The 21,288-nt window shown below is 45.4% G+C and overlaps 1 long non-coding RNA gene across 1 annotated transcript in view, besides 5 other annotated features; it reads left to right on the top strand.

Annotated features, from left to right (window-relative positions):
• LOC107987166 (uncharacterized) overlaps positions 1–21,288 on the top strand; it is a 160,015-nt gene that overhangs the window by 11,750 nt on the left and 126,977 nt on the right. The window lies entirely within an intron of this gene.
• Positions 3,040–3,584: an enhancer, noted in NCBI's record as "H3K4me1 hESC enhancer chr11:116329609-116330153 (GRCh37/hg19 assembly coordinates)". NCBI's record gives its function as "activates a minimal SCP1, AML or CMV promoter by ChIP-STARR-seq in primed H9 embryonic stem cells {active_cell/tissue: H9 hESC(primed)}" and the evidence as "EXISTENCE:reporter gene assay evidence [ECO:0000049][PMID:30033119]".
• Positions 11,840–12,385: an enhancer, noted in NCBI's record as "OCT4-NANOG hESC enhancer chr11:116320808-116321353 (GRCh37/hg19 assembly coordinates)". NCBI's record gives its function as "activates a minimal SCP1, AML or CMV promoter by ChIP-STARR-seq in primed H9 embryonic stem cells {active_cell/tissue: H9 hESC(primed)}" and the evidence as "EXISTENCE:reporter gene assay evidence [ECO:0000049][PMID:30033119]".
• Positions 15,749–16,566: an enhancer, noted in NCBI's record as "OCT4-NANOG-H3K27ac hESC enhancer chr11:116316627-116317444 (GRCh37/hg19 assembly coordinates)". NCBI's record gives its function as "activates a minimal SCP1, AML or CMV promoter by ChIP-STARR-seq in naive and primed H9 embryonic stem cells {active_cell/tissue: H9 hESC(naive and primed)}" and the evidence as "EXISTENCE:reporter gene assay evidence [ECO:0000049][PMID:30033119]".
• Positions 16,567–17,383: an enhancer, noted in NCBI's record as "OCT4-NANOG-H3K27ac-H3K4me1 hESC enhancer chr11:116315810-116316626 (GRCh37/hg19 assembly coordinates)". NCBI's record gives its function as "activates a minimal SCP1, AML or CMV promoter by ChIP-STARR-seq in primed H9 embryonic stem cells {active_cell/tissue: H9 hESC(primed)}" and the evidence as "EXISTENCE:reporter gene assay evidence [ECO:0000049][PMID:30033119]".
• Positions 17,384–18,201: an enhancer, noted in NCBI's record as "H3K27ac-H3K4me1 hESC enhancer chr11:116314992-116315809 (GRCh37/hg19 assembly coordinates)". NCBI's record gives its function as "activates a minimal SCP1, AML or CMV promoter by ChIP-STARR-seq in primed H9 embryonic stem cells {active_cell/tissue: H9 hESC(primed)}" and the evidence as "EXISTENCE:reporter gene assay evidence [ECO:0000049][PMID:30033119]".

Genomic DNA, 21,288 nt, shown 5'->3' with positions numbered 1-21,288 from the left:
CACTCCACGTGGGCCCCCCCACTCAGCATCCTTGGGGGATTCTGGGTGCTTGGGCCCTAGATCAGATGTGTGTGCAGGGATGCAGGCACCGGAGCTGTGACACAGGGACATGCAAGGTTGGTGTCACTGAAAGAGAAAGCTGACAAGGAAAGGGTGCAGAGAGATTCCGTCTTCTTCTGCGGGTCCTCTGTCCCCTCTCTACAGTGGCAAGAAAGAGACCTGCCTGGGGCCCGGGAGGGCTCCTGCCTCTACCCTCTTCGACAGGACACTCCTGAAGCTGAGCACTGGGAGGGCAGGAGAAAGGCCAGAATGCTTTCCTCATCTCCTGACAGTAGGAGAAGGGGCAAGTGTAGGCACAGAGAGACCTTCCATTGTGAGTCAGCCTAGCACAGGCTGCAGCCTGGGTGGGAAGCACTAGATGGAGTCACTCTAACGAATGAAGCTGCTGGTGAGCTCATTTACAGTCTGACGATCATGCTGGCCCCACAGCAGCAGCTGCCACCCACCCCTGCAGGGGGAAGCCACTTAGGAAGACAGCAAAGCAAGCTGCCATCAATCTATCAGCATTGGCTTCCATTAGGGATAGGATGGCTATGGAAGTAGGAGAAGGCCAGGGTGGAGGGGTAAAAGAGACACAGCTCTGGTGACAGTTTCATTTTAACAGGTTTCCAAATCCCAGAGGGATTCTTGGGGCAGCCTTAATGGGCTGAGAAAATGGCCGGTCACCTTCTGGCGAGTGGCAGCAGTCTTCAGCCCTCTCTCCCATGGAGAGAAAGAGCAAAATGCTAGTGTTCTGGTTGAATCTTATAGGAGTGTGTGACATGTATCATAAATTGTCCTGGCTAGTCCCGAGGTTTATTTTCTTTTCCCCATTTCTGTGTGTCGGATGTGTCCTGTCTGTGTGTTCCCAGTCTCTGTGTCTCCTGATCTTTCATATCTATATGCAGGTTTTTTTCCCCTAGATGATTGAGCAATGGCTCCCCACTAGGAAGGTGGCGTTACACACTGGAACAATGGTACTTGGAAGTCTGTGAGATTTTGATGGTCTCAGTGACGAAGGGCAGTTACTGGCTATCAAAAATCAATGTATAGGGACCAGGGGTGTTAACATTCTACAATGAATAAGACAGGCCATACAACAAACACTCATCCCACCCCAAATGATAACAGTGGCCCTGTTAAAATATAAGGAGGGAGAGATGAGGGTACTCAGGTGATTGGGCTCAAGGGGATTGACTCATGCTAATCAGACTCACAAAAGACTGATGTAAAATTGCAGAGAAGGCTGGATGTGGTGCCTCACACCTGTAATCCCAGCACTTTGGGAGGCCAAGGCAGGTGGATCACCTGAGGTCAGGAGCTCAAGACCAGCCTGGCCAACATGGTGAAACCCCCTTTCTACTAAAAATAAAAAAATTAGCTGGGCATGGTGGTGCATGCCTCTAATCCCAGCTTCTCAGGAGGCTGAGGCAGGAGAATTGCTTGAACCCGGGAGGTGGAGGCTACAGTGAGCAGAGATCGCGCCATTGCACTCCAGCCTGGGCGACAATAGCGAAACTCTGCATCCCCCCCACCCCCTGCAAAAGGAAAGAAAAATTGCAGGGGAGTAATTTACAAAGAAGCTGTTCTTTTTCAGTGGACAGAAGTCTTCTCTCTGCTATCTGGAGTACTTCCTTAAAACAATAAGGAAAGTGAATGAACAGTCCAAAGGTGAGCATAGATTAGGGGCTGCTTTTTTGAGGTGCAAGGTGAGGTGCCCATGAACTGATGACTCCCTTTTCACCGCTGCAAATGCAGAATTCCTCTGTCAGTCTGTGTCTCTCCCTATTTGCCAGTGCTGTATGAACACCAGTAAACACCTGCTCTTTAGGCTGCTACCACTTGAAGACCTAGGTAACAGGGTCCTTGCTCTGGGGTTGTGCTTTAGAGGCCCCGCTCTGGCCTACCTCCTACCTGGCACTTGGAATTCCCTGCTGGAACAGCCCCAAGGCCACTCCCAAGGCCTCTTTCCCAGATCTATCACTGGTGTGCATATCCCAAGGCCCCAAGATGGCTAAAGAAGGGCTGTTTTGCAGGGAGTTGGAAGACAGAACATAAACATGTGGCCTGAGCTCTGGGATAAAGCCAGATCATCACAGCCTTTTCCCCAGGGAATCCCAGAATCTTAATCTTGGTCACATCCAGTCTTCCTGGGAAAATGCCTCTGTTTCCCTGATTGAATTTGGGGGCCATTCACTCACCAGACCTTGAATTTCTCTCCAGCGACTTCTCAGGTTAATCACATACATTTTGTTGACTTTTACAAATATACATATCCCTTCTAAGGGTTCCCTGTGGCAGATGAGGGGTGGGGTGGGACTGAGTTCATGACAACTTCCCACAGTTACTACTACAAACCCCTGTGGTGTCAGTCACCCTCTCTGTTACAGTGCTGTTCTTATTATGTCTGTTCTTATGTCTGTTTGCCCCGGTGTTTTCTTTCTTTTGTTTTCTTAAAATGTCTACCTTTTGGAGACCAGGGCACACAACCATAAACTTATCCCATCAAGCTGTAAATTTACAGGGTTGGTGTAGCTTACATATAAACATTAGAGGTGTTGATGTTTCAGGCTGCAGTTCTAGCAGTTTCTTTGATCTTTTACTGACCAGTAAATTATTTATTGGGTCTGTCATAAAGATAAACCAAAGCCTATAAACTATATTTATAGTATCACAAAAGTCTCCCCTCCTACCTGGCATCTTCAGATGTAGATCATGGTACTGATGAGAATGCAGCAGCCAGGGTATTTTTATACCCTTTCTTCTTTCCTGTCCTTTCAGCTCTTTGCCTACTTTCCATGATTTCGTTTCATTTTTTTTCCTTTCCCTCTGTTTTTTTGAGGTCCAAGGTCAGGTTTTTGTGAGGCTTGTTGTGAACGCCTCAACACTCTTCCCTGGCCTCTGGGTGGCCACATCTCACCCGGGCCTGCATCCCAGGCGGTTCTCAGCTACTCCTTCCAGAAACCTGACATTCCCCAGGCCCCAGCCCATGGCTCCAGGCCCAGCGGCAGATCCGTTCCCCTGCAATCCATCTGCCTCTAAGGCCTACAACACCTGTCAACCCCTGGGAAAATGAACTGTGCCTAATCAATGGTCAGTTCCAACTGACACTTTGGGTTGTCGGGAAGGGAGTTTACTGCAGAGTGTGTGCGGGCGTGTGTGCCTGATTGCATGTGCTCGGCAGCAGGCGAGTGCCAGCCATTAAGCACCTCCTTTCATTTTATTTTTCCTTTAGCGGTTAACTAGCACCTTCTTCAATTAAAGTGGCAAGGCAGAGCAGACAAGGAAATCAGTGGATCTCTTCCCAAACATCAATAAAACAAATTTCTCTCCGGGATCCCTATTTGTTATGTGGATATCAGACTGACTGTAATCTGTTTCCATTTTCCTTTTACGTGTTACCCGCCAGAAGCTAGAGGCTCGGCCGTGGAGATCCCGCTGTTTCCATTTGGCTGAATGAGGGGGTAGATTAGATTCCTATTTGCTATGCAGACGCTCCCATCTGATATCCATTAGATGTGTCAGGAGAGCCCTGAAAATGTGTCTCCCCTATTTATTTTGGGTGTACTGGGGTGGGATAGTGGTTGCAGGCGAGTCTTGGAAGATGCCACCAGTTGCCTCGAAGACACCAACATAGTTTTCTTTCTTCCTCTGCTTGGTAATAAATCATGGCCCAAGTCATTTATATTCCAGGAGATAAGGATGTCAGGAACTGCTCCCTGCTGCTACAAGAGGAGAAGAGGCTAAACCCTGGTCAAAGGTGAGCAGAGTGCCTTTAAGGCAGCACCCTAGAAAGTCAAGAGTGTAAGGTTCTCCATTGTACAGATGAGGAAACTGAGGTCCCGAGAAATAAGGTAGATTGTTTCCATTCTTTCTTCTGTCTTCTTTCCTGCTGCAAATTCTCTTGAGGATTCTTCCAGCCTAGCCACTTCCTGCCCACCCACTCCCCACAAAAGCCAGGCATGGTTATGTCATTCCCACATGGATTTGCAGCCAATCGGGAAGGCTGGGGCCACGTCTACTATTTTGCTGTGTCCTACAAGTTGCGTAGCATAGTGCTGGGCATAAGGGGAGCTCACAATATGTCCTGGGTGACTGAACTCTCAGAGTAACCACTTTTTTTCTTTTAAAGATTTTGTTTATTAAGTCCTTACCATATACAGGCTTATTCAAACCTTGCCCAAGTCTTGTGGACCTCCTTCCTGTCCACCTGGAGGGCCCATTCCTTCTGTCTCGGCCAGCAGGCCTGCCTTTCCTCTTCCTTCCCACTTGTCCCTTCCCCAGCCCACCTCCATCAGTGATGTGTAACGGGGACAGCCTTCCGCCATTTGCACAATCCTCCCCCGCCCCTGGCCCCCCACCAGCTGCTCTGTTTCAGGTGTCCCCCACTTCAGGGGGATGACACCTTTTTAAAGAGACTGTTGTTTCCGGTGACACTGACAATCCTTCAGAATTGACAAGACCTGTCTCTGCATCTCCCTGCCTGCCGCCGGGCTCTCAACCTGGGGCCTAAGTGATTTGTCATCTTCTCTTGTCAGTCGCCGGCTCAGCTGGTGATCCTGCTCCTCCCTCCCCACTGGAGCCATAATCCTCTCCCTCTGATAACACAATTGTCTCCATGGCACTGAGCAGCCCTCATGGCACTGCAGGGGCTCTCGGCCCACGGAGGAAGGTAGAAAATAACAGCAACAAAGACCTTCTTTAGAAAAGAATAACGTCCATCTCCATGTCTGCACCCACTCCCCTGCCTCTTCCCCTTCCTCAGGAAAAAAACTGCTAGCGGAGAAGATACACAGAAACTAGGGGAAGGGCAGAAGGCCCTCAGACAGAGGGCTCTGTTTGCTGCTGCTGTTCCTTCTGAGTGAGATTACTTTTTTTCCTATCTAAGCAGCGTGCCAGAGAGAGCTGGCTCCTGCCCTGTCTCCTCAGCAGGACAGGCCCAGCCTCCAGAAGCTGGTGAGGAGCTGCTGGGCCTTGGGCTGTCCTCATCATTACTCCACCTTAGGAGGCCATGGGACTCGGCTCTAGGAGGCAGGGAGCCAGGCAGGGATGGGAAGACAGTGCAGGGTTTGGAATTCCCAGTGATCTCTCTGCAGGGCTTACAGCTCGGCCTGGAATACGTGCTCAGCTCACTCAAGTCAGTCCTCAGAGTTTTGTATGTTTTGAGGGTTCTATTTGATCCCCCAAGCCTCTGTGCGGGGCTGCTTCTGAGTGTCTCTCTCTCCAGCTGTGTGGCCTGCCATGCCAAGAGTGCTGGGCCAGCTCTCAGGGCCTCAGGGCTGGCTCCTCTTCCTGTGCAGGGAGCAAAGTGGGGTGGAAATCCACCTGGATCTGTGTGGTCACTCACTGGCAGGACAGTGCTCTGTAAACTTCCTAACCTTAGGTTTCCTCACCTGTAATACACACTAACAGTCTTACTTAATCTATGTGATGATCGCATTTGTTCCAGGACCACTCTACCCCCACCATGGATAATTCATGGATGCTCAAGTCTTGCAACAGGTCTTGCAGAACCCACAGATAAGAGAACTTGGCCCTTGGCATCCATGGGTTTTGCATCCTGAGAATACCATATTTTCAATCCACAGTTGGTTGGATCTGACGATGGAACTCGCAGATACAGAGAACTGACTGCATAAGGAAACTGGAAAGCTCTCTGTGCAACCGTGTTTACAATGCTGTTGCTAATGAGTCTTTTGCCTCCTTCGGTCTCAGTTTCCTCATCTGTAAGTGGAGGGTAACTCTGCTGACCTCTGCATTATGATAGTATCACTTGAGGAGGTGGACATGAAAACCCTTTTGAAGTGTGAAGTTTATGAGAGATGGTTATCTGAAACCTTCCTTTTTATTTTTATTTTTATTTTTATTTTATTTTATTTTATTTTATTATTTTATTTTATTTTATTTTATTTTATTTTATTTTATTTTATTTTTTTTGAGACATAGTCTCACTCTGTCACCCAGGCTGGGGTGCAATGGTGTGATCTTGGCTCACTGCAACCTCCATCTCCCAGGTTCAAGCGATTCTCCTGCCTCAGCCTCCCAAATAGCTGGGATTACAGGTGTGCGCCACCATACCCGGCTAATTTTTTGTATTTTTGGTAGAGATGGGGTTTCACCGTGTTAGCCAGGATGGTCTCAATCTCCTGACCTCATGATCTGCCTGTCTCAGCCTCCCAAAGTGCTGGATTATAGGCGTAAGCCACCGCACTGGCCCTGTAACCTTTTATACCTGTGTGCCTATCCCTTAGGGGAGACCAAATAAGATAGAATTTGTTTTAAATGCTCAGAAATGGTTTCCAGGATGCCCAAATCCTTATTTTCCTTTGCTAATTCCCAATCCCTACTTGCTTTGGCCTCACATATTCCCCAGACTCTGTTGTTGCATCCCTGCTTAACCCTCTGTCCCCAGGACAAAGTGTGAAAGTCATGCATAGCTGACAACATGGCTCTTGGAGACCAGCCTCCGTCCATCCTCCTCTCTTGCCATTCTCCCATTCACAGCTCTAGTGAACCTGAATTTTGACTTGTTAGAAAGCACCAGGCTTTCTCTGGCCTCTGGGCTTTTGCACATGTTGGTTCTCCTGCCTGCTAACTCCTACTCATCCTTCAAATATCAGTTTAATGGCCACTTCCTCCAGGAATCCTTTTGCATTAGTCTGGGTGTCCCTGATCCAAGTCCTAGCAGTGCATTTTTTCCCCTCTACTGCAATTGACTCCTTGCTCATTTATGTCTCCCACTTGACTGAGCTCCACAAAGGTAGGGCCTTGCCTTTTTTGTTCTTTGGTATATTCCCAGCACCCAGCACAGTGCCTGATGTGTAGTGGGTGCTCAAAAAGCATTTGCTGCAGCAAGGAATAGTAGGTGGGTTTACGACAAATAAAAATGAGTGGGATTCTGCCTTAGTCATGTTGCCGAGAGCTCTTCTATTCATTGAGTGCTTATTAAGTCCCCTTGTGAGCCAGACTGTCCACTAAGCCCAGCAGCTCCTGGGCTGCAGACCTGCCTGCAGAGGTGTAGACATTGTGAGGCAGACGTCGTATCAAGCAGAGCAGGTAAGAGTGGGATGAGGCAGCCCTGGGTGCCTCAGCTCTGCTCCTGAGGCCTGACCTTAAACCCCTGCCACCCCCCAGCCTTTTTTCCTAAGCCCAGACTCTTTCACAGCCAGGCTGACCTTGGTCATTCCCAGCAGAGGTGTCTCTGTCATAGCCCAGGCCTTTGCCTGGTTTCTGTCTTATCTGTGGATTTCTTGAGCTGAGCAGCATTGGTGTAGGAGGAGACAGATGGGACCACACCCAGCTAATCCTGCAAGGAGCTCCAGCCTGGCTCTGGGAAGTCCTATTGGAATATTAATATTCTGAGGAGGAAGCCAGTGATTACATTTTAGACTTCCAAATGGGCTTAGTAAATAGGCTTTGCTGAGAGGTGGGACAGACAGCTGGACCAGCAAGCAGTAACGGTGAGCAGCAGCAAGTGGTGATTAAGGAAGAGATTTGCTCCCCAGAAAGGGAACTCTCCAGGAGCTGCTTCCTGGTGGGAGATCTTTTCAGTGAATTCATTTAGGCAGTTCTTGCCTTCCTGCAGAGGTAGAAGTCCCTGGGTGTTGCTTTTTACTGTTTCTCTCTCTCTCTCTCTCTGAAGACCAGAGAAGAAGAATATATCCAATGACAGGAGAGCACATACTCATAGGTGGGTGTCTGTTGAATAATTAATTCATTCATCCATCCATCCATCCATCCAACCATCCATCCATCCATCCATCCATCCATCCATCCATCCATCCATCCATCTATCCGTTCCCTCAATAATATATATCGTGCACCCTTTCTGTTGGGTTCTGAGGACACAGCAGCGAGGAAGATATTCATTTGTCTCTCCATTCTTTCCTCCACACCAGGATGTAGTCTGGGTCCAGAATATAAGTCAAAACACGTGCAGCTGCTCAGTTTGCCTCTATCAGACCCAGGTCACTTTCTCTGCCAAAGCCTGGCTAGCACAGTGGATATGTCACATGGACACAGGTTGGGATGGCCTGGCATTCTGACCATCTTTGTGTTCCCAGCACCATATCGCTAAAGGAAAGAACCCAAGGTGACATAGGGGCACCAGGTCCTCTGGATATTGCAGCAGTCTTCCCAGCTCGTGTGGTGCCTGGTGCAAATGAGAAACCAGAACTCCTTCCTGGAGACACATCACTGCCACCTGCTGGAAAATGCTTGCAGCAAATATTCGACTCTGCACGGCCACAGTGCGAATGGTGCCCCTTAGATTTGCCTATTGGGTCTAATGCCTATCTGTGTGGCCCTGGTCCACTGCTTAGAGTGATCAACTCTGTAGTCCCACAGGGCAGTGGCTGCTGCCAAATATCTCCAGAGAAAGGTGCAGTGTTATGCAAAGCCCCAAATACCTGACAAGCCAATATCTATCTGTTTGCTATTAGCACATATTTAAAAAGTTCTATTAGATGAAAGATAACTGAGGGTAGAAATTTATATGATTCCAAACTACATGTGAAAATCTGACAAATGCAAAGGTGGAAAGTGCTCTAAAAAGATCTCATTTTCCTTCTTTCTTTTTTGAAAAATTTTGAGATAGAATCCGCTCTGTCGCCCAGGCTGGAGTGCAATGGTGCGATAATGGTGCGATCTCAGCTCACTGCAACCGCTGCCTCCTGGGTTCAAGCAATTCTCCTGCCTCAGCTTCCCAAGTAGCTGTGATTACAGGCACGTGCCACCACACCCAGCTAATTTTTGTATTTTTAGTAGAGACGTGGTTTTGCTGTGTTGGCCAGGCTGGTCTTGAACTCCTGACCTCAAATGATCTACCTGCCTCAGCATCCCAAAGTGCTGGGATTACAGGCATGAGCCACCGGGCCTGGCCCTTTCCTTCTTTCTTATCTATATCTCTCCTCTACTCCAAGCTGGTGACAGATGGCATCACCACTCAGACAAATGCAAAACACTTGGCTAAAAACAATGCCCTACTCCTTGGCCCCCAGTACTCACACATTCTTTGGAGAAACTTTTCAAATATTTTTATTTGAGATTCATTGCCTTATAGTTTAAAGGATTAAATCCATTGCTTTGCTGACCACCTCCTCTGGGGACAAAGGCCTGAAACCCCTTTGTCCCCAGAGGAGGTGGTCACTAAAGCAATGGATTTAATCAGTAGGAAATGGAAACCTAGGTTTGCCTTAACGAATACCGAGGGCCTCTGTTTTCAACCCTACATGTGCTACAGTGTGCACAAAGGTGTACACACATTCATATGTGCATGCACACACTTGTTTGCACTTGTGTGTGCAGGTGTTGGGAGTAGGTGAGCCAGAGTCTAGCCTGGTGCCTCTTTCCCACTGCATCAATAAATGTGGGTTGATGAAAATGGTGACTGGGACCTTCCCCTCCCTGAGTTTTGCAGGTAAAATAAAGGTGTCAGTGCTGCATGATTTTACTGGCTACCCTGAACCCAGTGGTTTTGTAAAGTGATCGGCGAGTGTCCAGGAGCATGTCTCCGGGGTGGGTGGCTCCAGCTGCAAAGGCACACACCAGGCCCCCACATGGCAGGAAAGGGCTGGCCCAGGATCCTGAAACAGTCAGAACAACACATTCCCAGGCTGAGCATCCTTGCTCTGCTCTCCTTGGCCATGGGAATGCGGGGACTGGATCCCTTCAGCTGTGAAAGCTCTCGCTTGCTTTCTGCCTTCCCTTACATACATCATCTGTTCAATGCAGCTCAAGCTCCAAGCCAAAGCAGCTCTCAGCAAACATGCTGAGCCTGGTGGTGGGCATCAGATAGAGTCAAAACTGCTCGGGGGCAGTGCTGGCCACCTTGGCAGTGAGACATGCCAGGCCACATGCACAGAGGGCTCTGGGGAGGACCAGTGTGTTGTGATACTAAGAGTCAGAGGATGCTTCATCTGATCCTGGCTTGTATCCATCTATTGATCCATTCAGGTGCTGAATAAATGCTCATTAAGTCCCCTGTGTGTAGGCTTTGTGTTGTGGGCTGTGGGGGATACATAGATGAATGACACATGATTCCAGCCTGAAGAGCTTACACAAGCCACCCCAGCACAAATCCAAATGTGCTACTCAAATGCCACGGGGGTCTCAGGAAGCAGAGAGCACTCCCAGCTAGAGATTAGGAAAGGCCTCATAGGGAGCTGGCATTTAAGCTTGGATAATGGCTGGGATTTCAGCAGGTCTTGAGGATCTGCTGAGGACAAGAAGGAGGCGTTTCAGCAGAGGGCAATCACCTGGAGGGAGGAAGACGGGGGAAAGCACATGGCATATGACAGGTCTTGAGGTCTGGCCACAGTGTAAAACTGGGGAGGGGATTGAGAGAAGATGGGACAGGGAGGGTGACTGAGGACTGATTAGCAATCGAAGGAGTCATGTCAGCCAGGGTTGGTGTGGTAGGTAGAATAATGACCCCAAAGACATCTGTGTCCTAATCTCCAGAACCTGTGACTATGTTACTCTCCATGGTCAAATGGACTTTGCCGATGTGATTAAATTGAGCATTTGAGGTTAGGGTTGAGGGTGGGTGTGTAACCCTGAATTATCAAGGTGAACCCTATATAATCACAGGGGTCCTCATGAAAGGGAGACAGTAGAGTTAAAGGAAGGAGAAGACCATATGATGACAGAAGCAGAAATTGGAGTGATGTAGCCACAAGCCAAGGAATGCTGGCAGTCCATAGAAACTTGAAGAGGTAAGGAGTGGATGTTCCCCTGGAGCCTTCGGAAGGGACAGAGTGCTGCCCACACCTTGATTTTGACCCTATAAGAGTCATTTTGGATTTCTGACCTGTAGAAGTGGGACAGGATAAATTTGTGTTGTTTTAAGCCACTAAATTGGTGGTAATTAGGTACAGCAACAATAGGAAACGTACGGTTTGAAACACTCTTCCAGCCGTTGTAGTTTCTAACGTAAGGTATTTCAGTTTTCTATCAGACCTTAGTCTCCTATATTTTAAGGGGTTTAAGAGTAGTACTTACTTCTTAGGGTTTTAAGGATGAATCAAGATCACATATGTAAAGCACTGCATATGCAATTTATTATAGCCACTAGGACTATTATTATATTATTTCTGCAGGCCATGTGGGGCCCACCACCTCATTCTCACCTTCCCCACTTTCCCCAGCCTGGCCTCCTTCCAGTACAGTTTTCCCTTTTCTTATTCCTCCTGCAGCTTTCAGTGACTTCAGTAACTCAGGCTGCTGGAGCCTCGCTGGGCTGCATATTACAGGTGAAGGATATCACCGAGACTACCTACCCACCCATCATTTAAAACATAATGTGCAGGATTAGATGCCTATTGATGGACCTGCCACAGGTTCACAGATCTTAATACTGATTGAATATTAACATTTTAAAAAACTAAGGCTGGGCACAGTGGCTCATGCCTGTAATCCCAACACTTTGGGAGGCTGAGGCGGGCAGATCACTTGAGCCCAGGAGTTTGAGACCAGCCTGACCAATGTGGTGAAAGTCCGTCTTTACTGAAAATACAAAAATTAGCCAGGTGTGGTGGTGCACAACTGTAATCCCAGCTACTCGGGAGGTTGAGACATGAGAATCACTTGAGCCCTGGAGGCAGAGGTTGCAGTGAGCTGAGATTGTGCCAGTGAGCTGAGATTGTGCCACTGCACTCTAGTTTGGGCGACAGGGATACTCTGTTTCAAAAAAATAAAAAATTAGTTGTATATTTTGTGGTAATCACAGATAATAAAACAGATTCACTTTAGGTACTTTCATGCGTGTCCGTGTGAAGAGATCACCAAACAGGCTTTGTGTGAGCAACAAGGCTGTTTATTTCATCTGGGTGCAGGCGGGCTGAGTCCGAAAAGAGAGTCAGCGAAGGGAGATAGGGGTGGGGCCGTTTTATAAGATTTGGATAGGTAAAGGAAAATTACAGTCAAAGGGGGTTGTTCTCTGGCAGGCAGGAGTGGGGGTCACAAGGTGCTCAGTAGGGGAGCTTTTGAGCCAGGATGAGGCAGGAGAAGGAATTTCACAAGACAATGTCATCAGTTAAGGCAGGAACGGGCCATTTTCACTTCTTTTGTGGTGGATTGTCATCAGTTAAGGCAGGAACCGGCCATCTGGATGTGTACGGGCAGGTCACAGGGGATATGATGGCTTAGCTTGGGCTCAGAGGCCTGACAGGTACAACATTTAATGAGTATAACAACCAAATCCTTGAGAGGTCTATATGTAGTTGGTGTGCCTAAGTTCAGGTTTGGAAAGGTAGGCAGATTGTGTTGGAAGTTTGTCTCTGTAGCCAACCCAGAAACACGTGTAGTTTTTATACACACATGTTTTTAACAGCTTTATTGAAGTATAATTGACGTGCAATAAATGATATGTATTTAAAATATACAATTTGGTGGGTTTTGACATATCTATATACCTATGAAATTATCATCATAATTAAGTAATAAACATATTCATCACCCCCACAAAATTCTCCATGTCTCTGTAATCCATCCCTTCTCCCTGTTCTTTACCCCTTTTTGCCCATTCTCCCCATAGGCAATCACTGATCTGCTTTCTGTCACTATAGGTTAGTTTATACTTTCTAGAATTTTATATAAATGCAATTATACAGTATGTATTCTTTTTCATCTGGCATCTTTCACTTAGCATAAGTGATTTATCCTATGTTAAGTTGGATCAATAGTCTGTTCCTTTTAATTACTGAGTAGTATTCCATTATATGGATATACCACAATTTGTTTATCTATTTTCCAGTTGATGAACATTTGGATTGTTTCCAGTTTGGCGCTATTACAAATAAAGCTGCTATGAGCATTCATGGAAAAGTCTTTGTATGGATATGTGTTTTTATTTTTGTTAGGGAAATACCTAAGAAAGAAATGGCTGAACCACATGGTAGGTATATGATATGGTTTGGCTCCGTGTCCCCACCCAAATCTCACCTTGAATTATAATCCTTATAATCCCCATGTGTCAAGGGTGAGGCCATGTGGAGGTAATTGGATCATGGGGGCAGTTTTTCTCATGCTGTTCTCATGAGAGTGAGTGAGTCTCACAAGATCTGATGGTTTTATAAGCTTCTAGCATTTCCCCTGCTTGGACTCACTCTATTCTGCTGCCCTGTGAAGAAGATCCTGGCTTCTCCGCCACAATTGTAAGTTTCCTGAGACTTCCCCAGCAATGCGGAACTCTGAGTCAATTGAACCTCTTTCCTTTATAAAGTACCCAGTCTCAGGCATTTCTTCATAGCAGTGTGAGAACCAACTAATATAGTGTATGTTTAACTTTATAAGAAACTGTCAAACTGTTTTCCACAGTGGTTTTTTACAGCCCCACCAGCAGTTTATGAGAGTTTCTTACCAACACTTCACATGGTCAACTTTTCTCATGTTAGTCATTCTAATAGATATGAAGTGGTATCTCACTGTGGTTTTGATTTACGTTTTTGTAATGATTAATTATGTTGATCATTAATTTTTATTGCTTGTTTTCCATCCATATATCTCCTTTGGTAAATGTCTTCAAATCTTTTACTCATTAAAAAAATTGTGTTATTTGTTTTATTATTGAGTTTTTAAGCTCTGTGTTTATCCTGGATAAGTCTTTTACACATATATTCTAAGATTTTCTCCCCATCCAGGGCATGTCTTTTCCTTCAATCGTGTCTTTCAAAGAGCAGGAGTTTTTAATTTTGATGAAGGCCAATTAATTAACTTGTTCTTTTATGGGTTGTGTTTTTTGATGTCATATCTGAGAAGTCTTTGCCTAACCCCAGGTCACAAAGATCTTCTTTTATGTTTTCTTTTAGAAGTTTTATTGTTTTAGATTTTACATTTAGGACTGTGAGTCATTCTGAATTAATTTTTGTATATGGTGGGATGTGTGGATTGAAGTTACATTTTTGGCTATGGATATCCAATTGTTCCAGTACCATTTGTTGAAGACTACTCCACTGAATTTGTTTTGCACATTTGTCAGTGGGAGGGGGGGAATAATCTTTTCTTCACCTATTAGAACGTTCACAGCTGAGGTACCGAAATAATCTTTTCTTCACCCATTAGAACGTTCACAGCTGAGGTACCTATAATAGCAGATTAACAAGAGAAAAGCATAACAAAGTTTCTTTTATGATTTAATATGCTTTATGTGACATGGGAATCTTCAGAAATAAAGAGCCAAAGAAATTGGAAACCTGTGTACTTTTATGCTTAGGCTTGGTGAAGAGCAGACAGTTATGCATTGGACAAAGTGGGTATGATCTAATGATAATAAATTGGGGAGAATTTATCAGGACCTGATTGTTCAGATTCTCCTCTGTGTCCCTGTGTGTTCAGAGATAAGGACATTGAGGTTCCTATGACCTAATTCAGAGAAAGGTCAGCTAACTTTTATGGCCTGCTTCAGGGGAGAAAGGGGCAAGAGGAAGGTAAGAGTGACCTTCCTGCTTCTGCTGTTTTCTCAAATGCCAAGGTGCCATATTTTGGGGAAGCATGTTCTGCAAGCCCATCATCAAAATTGTTGCCCTCTGAGAAAGACTCTTAGCATGGCCAGACTTAGGCTTCTGAAGCTTCTCCTAGGACCTTGTGTGCCCTTCCTTATAAAATTCAGTTTTAGCAAATAAAGCTGCCAAGGCAATTTAGCAAGAATCTCCCCCACTCTATACCTGATCACCCTTGATACCTGATCACAATTCTTCACTCCCCACCCTTGTTATCTGATCACACTGTTCTGCCTTCAGCAGAAATCCTGTTAGGTTGGTTCAGCCAAAAATTCTCCTGAACTTTGTGTCTCTTCTTAGCAATTTACTATCCACTGGCCCCCTTCCTCACTGGCTATAAATCCATATGTATCCCTGGTGTATTCAGAATAGACCCCAGTATGATACCAGGGTCTCTCTTCCCCTATTGCAATAGTGCTAAATAAAACTTGTCTTCACTACTTTCACTTCTGTCCTGCTCTGGTTTTATTTTTTGACACCATTGTTGGGGCACAGAGAATGATATCCCAAAGTGTGATACTTTGGCTTGCTGAGCACTTTTGAATTAAAGGAAACTGGAAGGCCTTAGAAGTTGCCTCAGAACCAAGGACTTTCTCACCATCTCTTGTTTCTCTCCTCCCACTTTACTAAATGCAGGGAGGGGCTATTTCTGGGAGTTCCCTTATCTGACTAAGGAAGACTTTTCCCAAAATAAATGCAATAGGCTGGCCATGGTGGATTACAACTGTAATCCCAACACTTTGGAGGCTGAGGCAGGTGGATCACTTGAGCTCAGGGGTTTGAGACCAGCCTGGGCAACATGGCAAAACCTCATCTCTACAAAAAATACAAAAATTAGCTGGGTGTGGTGGCTCATGCCTGTAGTCCCAGCTACTTGGGAGGCTAAGGTGGGAGGATCGCTTGAGCTTGGAAGGTTGAGGCTGAGGCTGCAGAGAGCTGTGATCATGCCACTGCACGCCAGCCTGGGTGACAGAACAAGACTCTGTTAATAAATAAATAAAGAAAAAGAAATGTAATTGTCTTAAGATCCCCTCCCTGGGAATCTCATCAAATAACCAGGAAAGACTAACTGCTGGACAAGAGAAAAGTCTAAAAGTTGTCACCACACCCAGGCAGACTTATCATCAATTCTTCTGAGAGATTACCTGGGAGACTCTATTAGCATAATAAGACAACCTTTGTTCATAGCGAAGTTCTGCCCCTCAACCTCTCACCACCTCCTCCAGAGCTCAGAACTTTGTCCCAAGCCATTGTCTGTTCTTTGTGCTCATTCGATTTCCCTGAAAATTCATTTACTACTCCTCAAAATTTCCTCCATCCCATTTCCATCTCTCCTATGAAGAGGGTATTTAAGCCTCAACCACCTGGACCTTCTTTGAATCTCATATTATGTATGGCTTCTGTTCTCATGCACATTAACACATTTGTTTGTCTTTTCACTTGATAATCTGTCTATTAGTTCATTTCAGCAGGCTTGAACTTTCAGAGGGGGAGGGAAAAATTGCCTTTGCCCTTGTACCATATATGTGTGGATGTTAGAAATACTTTTATGTACTCTTTCAATTATAAAACAAGTAATGTATTTAAAACTGCACATTGAAGAAATTCTTAGATAATTTTTAAAAAGTTATGCTCATAAAGAAACATAATAAACTTACCTGTCAACTATTTGTGTCAATATTTATAAAGGCACGATTGCTTTGCTTTTATTAATACTTTGGCTGGAATGAGTCATGAAAACCACACCTAGTTGAGCCTTGGCGAAACATACCTCAGCATTTTATAAATGCTGCACAGTAAAATTTTGATATTAGGCTCAGCACCTTTCCAATTCCTTTAACCCTCTCACTTCTCCGCCTCACTATTTGAATTATAGCTAGGGCTTTCTCTATGCATTGCCCTTAGGGTAGGGGACCCTGCAGAGAGAACAAAGAGTCCCTTTCCTGGCTTTTGAGCTCTTAAGTAGCCTTTTGTAAATCTATTGTAGAGGCAATGGTATTGAGAGCCACGGATTTCAATTCTAAGGGCAAGGTTCTTGAGAGAAAAAAGGGTATTTTTGAATTTCAAAAGCTTGGCTTTAAATATCAAAAGCAAAAGCCAGAGGGCTCAGAGCATAGGTTTTATGTCATAAACCAGACTGTGAAGAACAGTCTCTTTCCCTGCCCAAAAAGAGATAAGATTTCAACTAAGGGGTGAGGTGGGGGTAGAGGAGGGAGAATTGAGCTTGGTTCAAGTTTAAATTGCTGGGTCCCTGGGAAGAGGCTTAGGGCTCCATCCCATTGGGCCGTGGCCTGGAGCGTAGACAACAGCCCAGACAGGCTGGAGGGGAAGGGGGTTCTCAAGGAGAAGAGCTATTGTCTAACCACCCAGAGCACAGCCTTGTGTATATAAGGACCACACTTAAGCAGTGTGGAAACAGAGGTTGGAGGCATCTAGGCCTGATGAGTCCTTGGCAGCCTCTTAGAATCCTTATACCCTAGTATGGGGTTCGGAAAGAGCCAAGAATTCTTGTACTCCCCAAAAAGAGTCTGGCGGTGTTCATGAGGGCTGGTGACCTGGAAAAGGCATTCTGATTGGGATGACAAGGATGCAGAGTCTAGAGCTGACAGCAGGGTGTGATTGCTGAAACACAAGAAAGAGAGAAGAACTTTGCCCCCTTCTCCCAGTGCCAGCAGCCCAGAGGTAGCAGGATCCTGTTGAAGGTAGGAAAAGTTTCAATACTAAAGAAAATGAAGAATTGTGATTATTGCTGAATGTTCCACAGTTCTGATGGAAGACTGTGTTTACAACTTAAAATGCCAGTAGGCCAGGCAGGGTGATTCACGCCTGTAATCCCAGCACTTTGGGAGGCTGAGGCGGGCAGATCATGAGGTCAGGAGATCGAGACCAACCTGGCTAACACGGTGAAACCGCGTCACTACTAAAAATACAAAAATTAGCCTGGCGTGGTGGTGGGCACCGGTGGTGCCAGCTACTTGGGAGGCTGTGAGGCAGGCGAATCGCTTGAACCTGGGAGGCAGAGGTTGCATTGAGCCGAGATCGCTCCACTATACTCCAGTCTGGGTGACAGAGTGAGACACCATCACAAAAAAAAAAAACAAAAAAACAAAAAAGTGCCGGTAGGATTTTCTATATATTTATTTATTTTTTGAGACGAGTCTCCCTCTGTCGCCCAGGCTGGAGTGCAGTGGTGCTATTTCAGCTCACTGCAACCTGTCTCCAGGGTTCAAGCGATTTTCATGCCTCAGCCTTCCCAGTAGCTGGGATTACAGGCGTGAGCCACCACGCCTAGCTAATTCTTGTATTTTTAGTAGAGATGGGGTTTCACCATGTTGGTCAGGCTGGTCTTGAGCTCCTGACCTCAGGTGATCTGCCTGCCTTGGCCTCCCAGCATGCTGGAATTACAAGTGTGAGCCACCGTGCCCAGCCTCTTTTTAGAGAGCTTCTTGACGGGTGGGACTAGAGATTGATCCCCTCAGTCCTTGGGGTGGTAGAGGGGGTCTGGGGGACATTGGAGCCCCCATAGCAGTGCCCCCAGCCTTGGGTAGCTTTGTCCGTTTATCTCAGTGTAGTATATAAATATTTTCTGTTTGTGTTTTGATAGAAAGAATGTGGGGAAGTGACTTGATTACAGTAGTCCTTCCTTCTCTGCAGAGGATCAGGTCCAAGCCCCCGAGTTGCAAGCCTGAAACCACAGATAGTACCAAACCTGATTGTGTCAATTGGAACATGTTTTTGTTCATGTCTTCCACCTACAAACTTAATGCCTTTTCCATCTTAACTAAGAACTTATGCTCCATGGCCATAACTTTTGCAATTTGAGGTGTGATATCAAAACTAGCATGAATTTCTTTTTCATTCTTCACAATTTCATGGACAGCAGATTCACTCTTGCCATAGATCTTGGCGACCTCAGCATACATTTTTTTTCTTTACTTATTAGATTGAGAACTCACAGGTTTTCACTTAAAGGAAGCACTTTATGGCTGCTCTTTGGCACATCCAAACGGCCAGCATCGCTACTCTTATGCTGTGGGGCCACTATTAAGTAAAATGAGGGTGACTTGAACACAAGCTCTGTGATACCATGACAGTTGATCTGACAACTGAGATGGCTGCTGAGTGACTAACAGGCAGGTAGTGTAGACAATGTGGATACACCACTGTATCCACAATATGTATCCAGACTGGATAAAGGAATGATTCACATCCTAGGCAGGATGGTGCAAGATTTCACTGTGCTCCTCAAGTCAGAATGGTGTATGCCATTTAAAACTTATGAATTTTTTATTTCTGGAATTTTCCATTTAATATTTTCAGATCTCAGTTGATGGTGAGTAATTGAAACCATGGAAAGTGAAACCATGGATAAGGGTGGACTACTGTAGTTTTCTACTGCTGTGTAACAAATTACCACAAACTTAGGGACTTAGAACAATACCTCTTTTTTTTCCCTTACACCTTCTATAGAATAGGAGTTGGCATGAACATTTGACCTTTGACTGGGTTCTCTGCTCAGGGTCTCACAAGGCTGAGGTTAAGATGTCTGCCACACAGTGTTCTCGTCTGGAGCTTGGCATCTCCTTCCAAGATGTTAACAGCATTTAGTTCCTTGTGGTTGTAGGACTAACATCCCCATTTTCTTGCTGATAGCTGGCCCAGGGTCTTTCTTAGTTCCTAGAGGCCACCCTCAAGTCTTAATTATGTGGCCCTTTCACCACACAGTAATTTCCTAGCTAAACAAGCACCAGAACCCATATTCAGTCTGCTTGCCACGAAAGAGTCTTATGTAATGTATCATACTCAAGGGAGTGACTACCCCATCATATTTACGGGTCTTGTCCATTATATAAGGTGTGCTGCAGGAGGCAGAATCTTGGGGGCTGTCTTAGAACTCTACCTATCACAACCACCAAGCTATGGGACATGCTTAGGGCCAAGATTATATCCATGGGCAAAGGGAAAACTGCCCCTGTGAAATAAATTATAAACAGACAATGAGAAACAAAAATAAGTTATGTTATGATTATATCCTATGAATTATTCTTGTTCAGTGATCCAGTTACTTGCAAACTAAATGTTTTCACTTGGGGGGGTTGATTTTCATGAGATTGCTGGAGCCAGTGAATTGTAAGTATCCAGTGATTCAATGAAAACAGGGAGGGCTGCAGAATTTCTCTACTGGATGGACTGCAGGGAAGCAATTTTGTTGGAGAGAATGGACAGGGAACTTTTCTTAAATCATAGTCTGTTTTCACTTGCAAGGTATGAGATCAGCAGGACTTGTTCTTCAAGCAGCAGTCATGACCCTGCTAATCAAAACAAGATGTAGCAAAGATACCAGCTAGGACTAGGAATTTTAATGCATTTGCATAAGAAACTCCTATCAGCACCATGACAGTTTACAAATGCCATGGCAACAACCCATAAGTTACCTTATATGGTTCTGGGAACTCCCCACCCATTTTCCAGAAAGTTTGTGAATAACACATGCCTTCATTAACATATAATTAAGAGTGGGTATAAATATAGCTAGCCAGCAATCCACCAGTGCTACTCTGGTCCACTCTGCCTATGGGATAGCCCTTCTCTGTCTATGGAGTAGACATTTTGCTGTACACTGTTGTTCAAATAAACTTGCTTTGTTTCACTGTCAGCTTGCTCTTGAATTCTTTCCTAAGCAAAGCCAAGAACCCTTCTGGGCTAAGCCCCAATTTTTGGGTTTGCCTGCATCACTTGGAGTTCATGCTTATTTGGCATGCCTTTGAAAGTCATTGTAGGGGCAGGTTTTAAAGCCATCCCTAAGTCACCTTTTGGATTACCTATCAGTGCATGTATCAGCTGAACTTTGGGGAAATATGCCTAACTTTTCTAGATGCATAGATTAAGTTCTGGCCATTCTGGTATAGGATACTACTAAGGTTTACACACAGCATAGTGAAAAATACATCAGAATCACAAGCCTTAAGCCCTGGCTTCTAGTTCTAGATCTATCTGCCTGTGGCTGGCTGTATGACTTTGAACAAATTACTGTCCCTCTCTGAATCTCTGTAAAATAAGAAGTGAAGACCTAATGTTCTCCAAGGGCTCTGCCATGTCCTTGGTACCAAGGGCATCCTGGATTTTCCAAAGATCTGAAATAAGTGATCCCCTGGACTTCAGAACATTCTGAAGAGCACCTGTCTCTAGACAAGTAAATACTCATCCTAACACAGGCAGATTTGGCTCTTCTGTTTATGAGTTCTCCAAAAAAAGATGCCATAGTCTTTTCCTCCTATCTACTCTTGTGCTCCACTGTCACCCACCTCACTCCCATCTCAAAGATGATTTCCCATTATTCCACCAATGCCACCTGGCTGTCTTATGACACTGTGATAGGATGCAGTTGTACTGCCGTCTAAATTGGTACCTGGCAATGCAGTCAAATTGGTAGCTGCCTAAGTTGGTTGGGCAAGTTAGAATAGGGGAGGTTACTTATTTGACAAAGACAATTTTTTTTCCAACCAACATTCCCTGAGCATCTCCTATATAAGGAACAGTAGCTTAGGTTCTGATAGATACAAATACAAATATAAAATCCTGGTCTTTATTCTTAAGGAGCTTCTAATCTCAGAGAACAGTGAAGCAGAGCATCAGAATGAGCTTTTATGGCTCCCCAGACACATTTAACTCCACAGAGAGGACCATTCTCAGGAATTGCCATCCATTCTGAGGTTTATGGGAGCTCATGGTTAGCAAGATGGGCAGAGAA

This window comes from Homo sapiens, chromosome 11 (genome assembly GCF_000001405.40).
Source record: "Homo sapiens chromosome 11, GRCh38.p14 Primary Assembly".
In the NCBI taxonomy this organism is placed as follows: domain Eukaryota; kingdom Metazoa; phylum Chordata; class Mammalia; order Primates; family Hominidae; genus Homo; species Homo sapiens.
The sequence above is the reverse complement of the archived record's forward strand: the minus strand, read 5'-3'. Positions and strand labels throughout refer to the sequence as shown.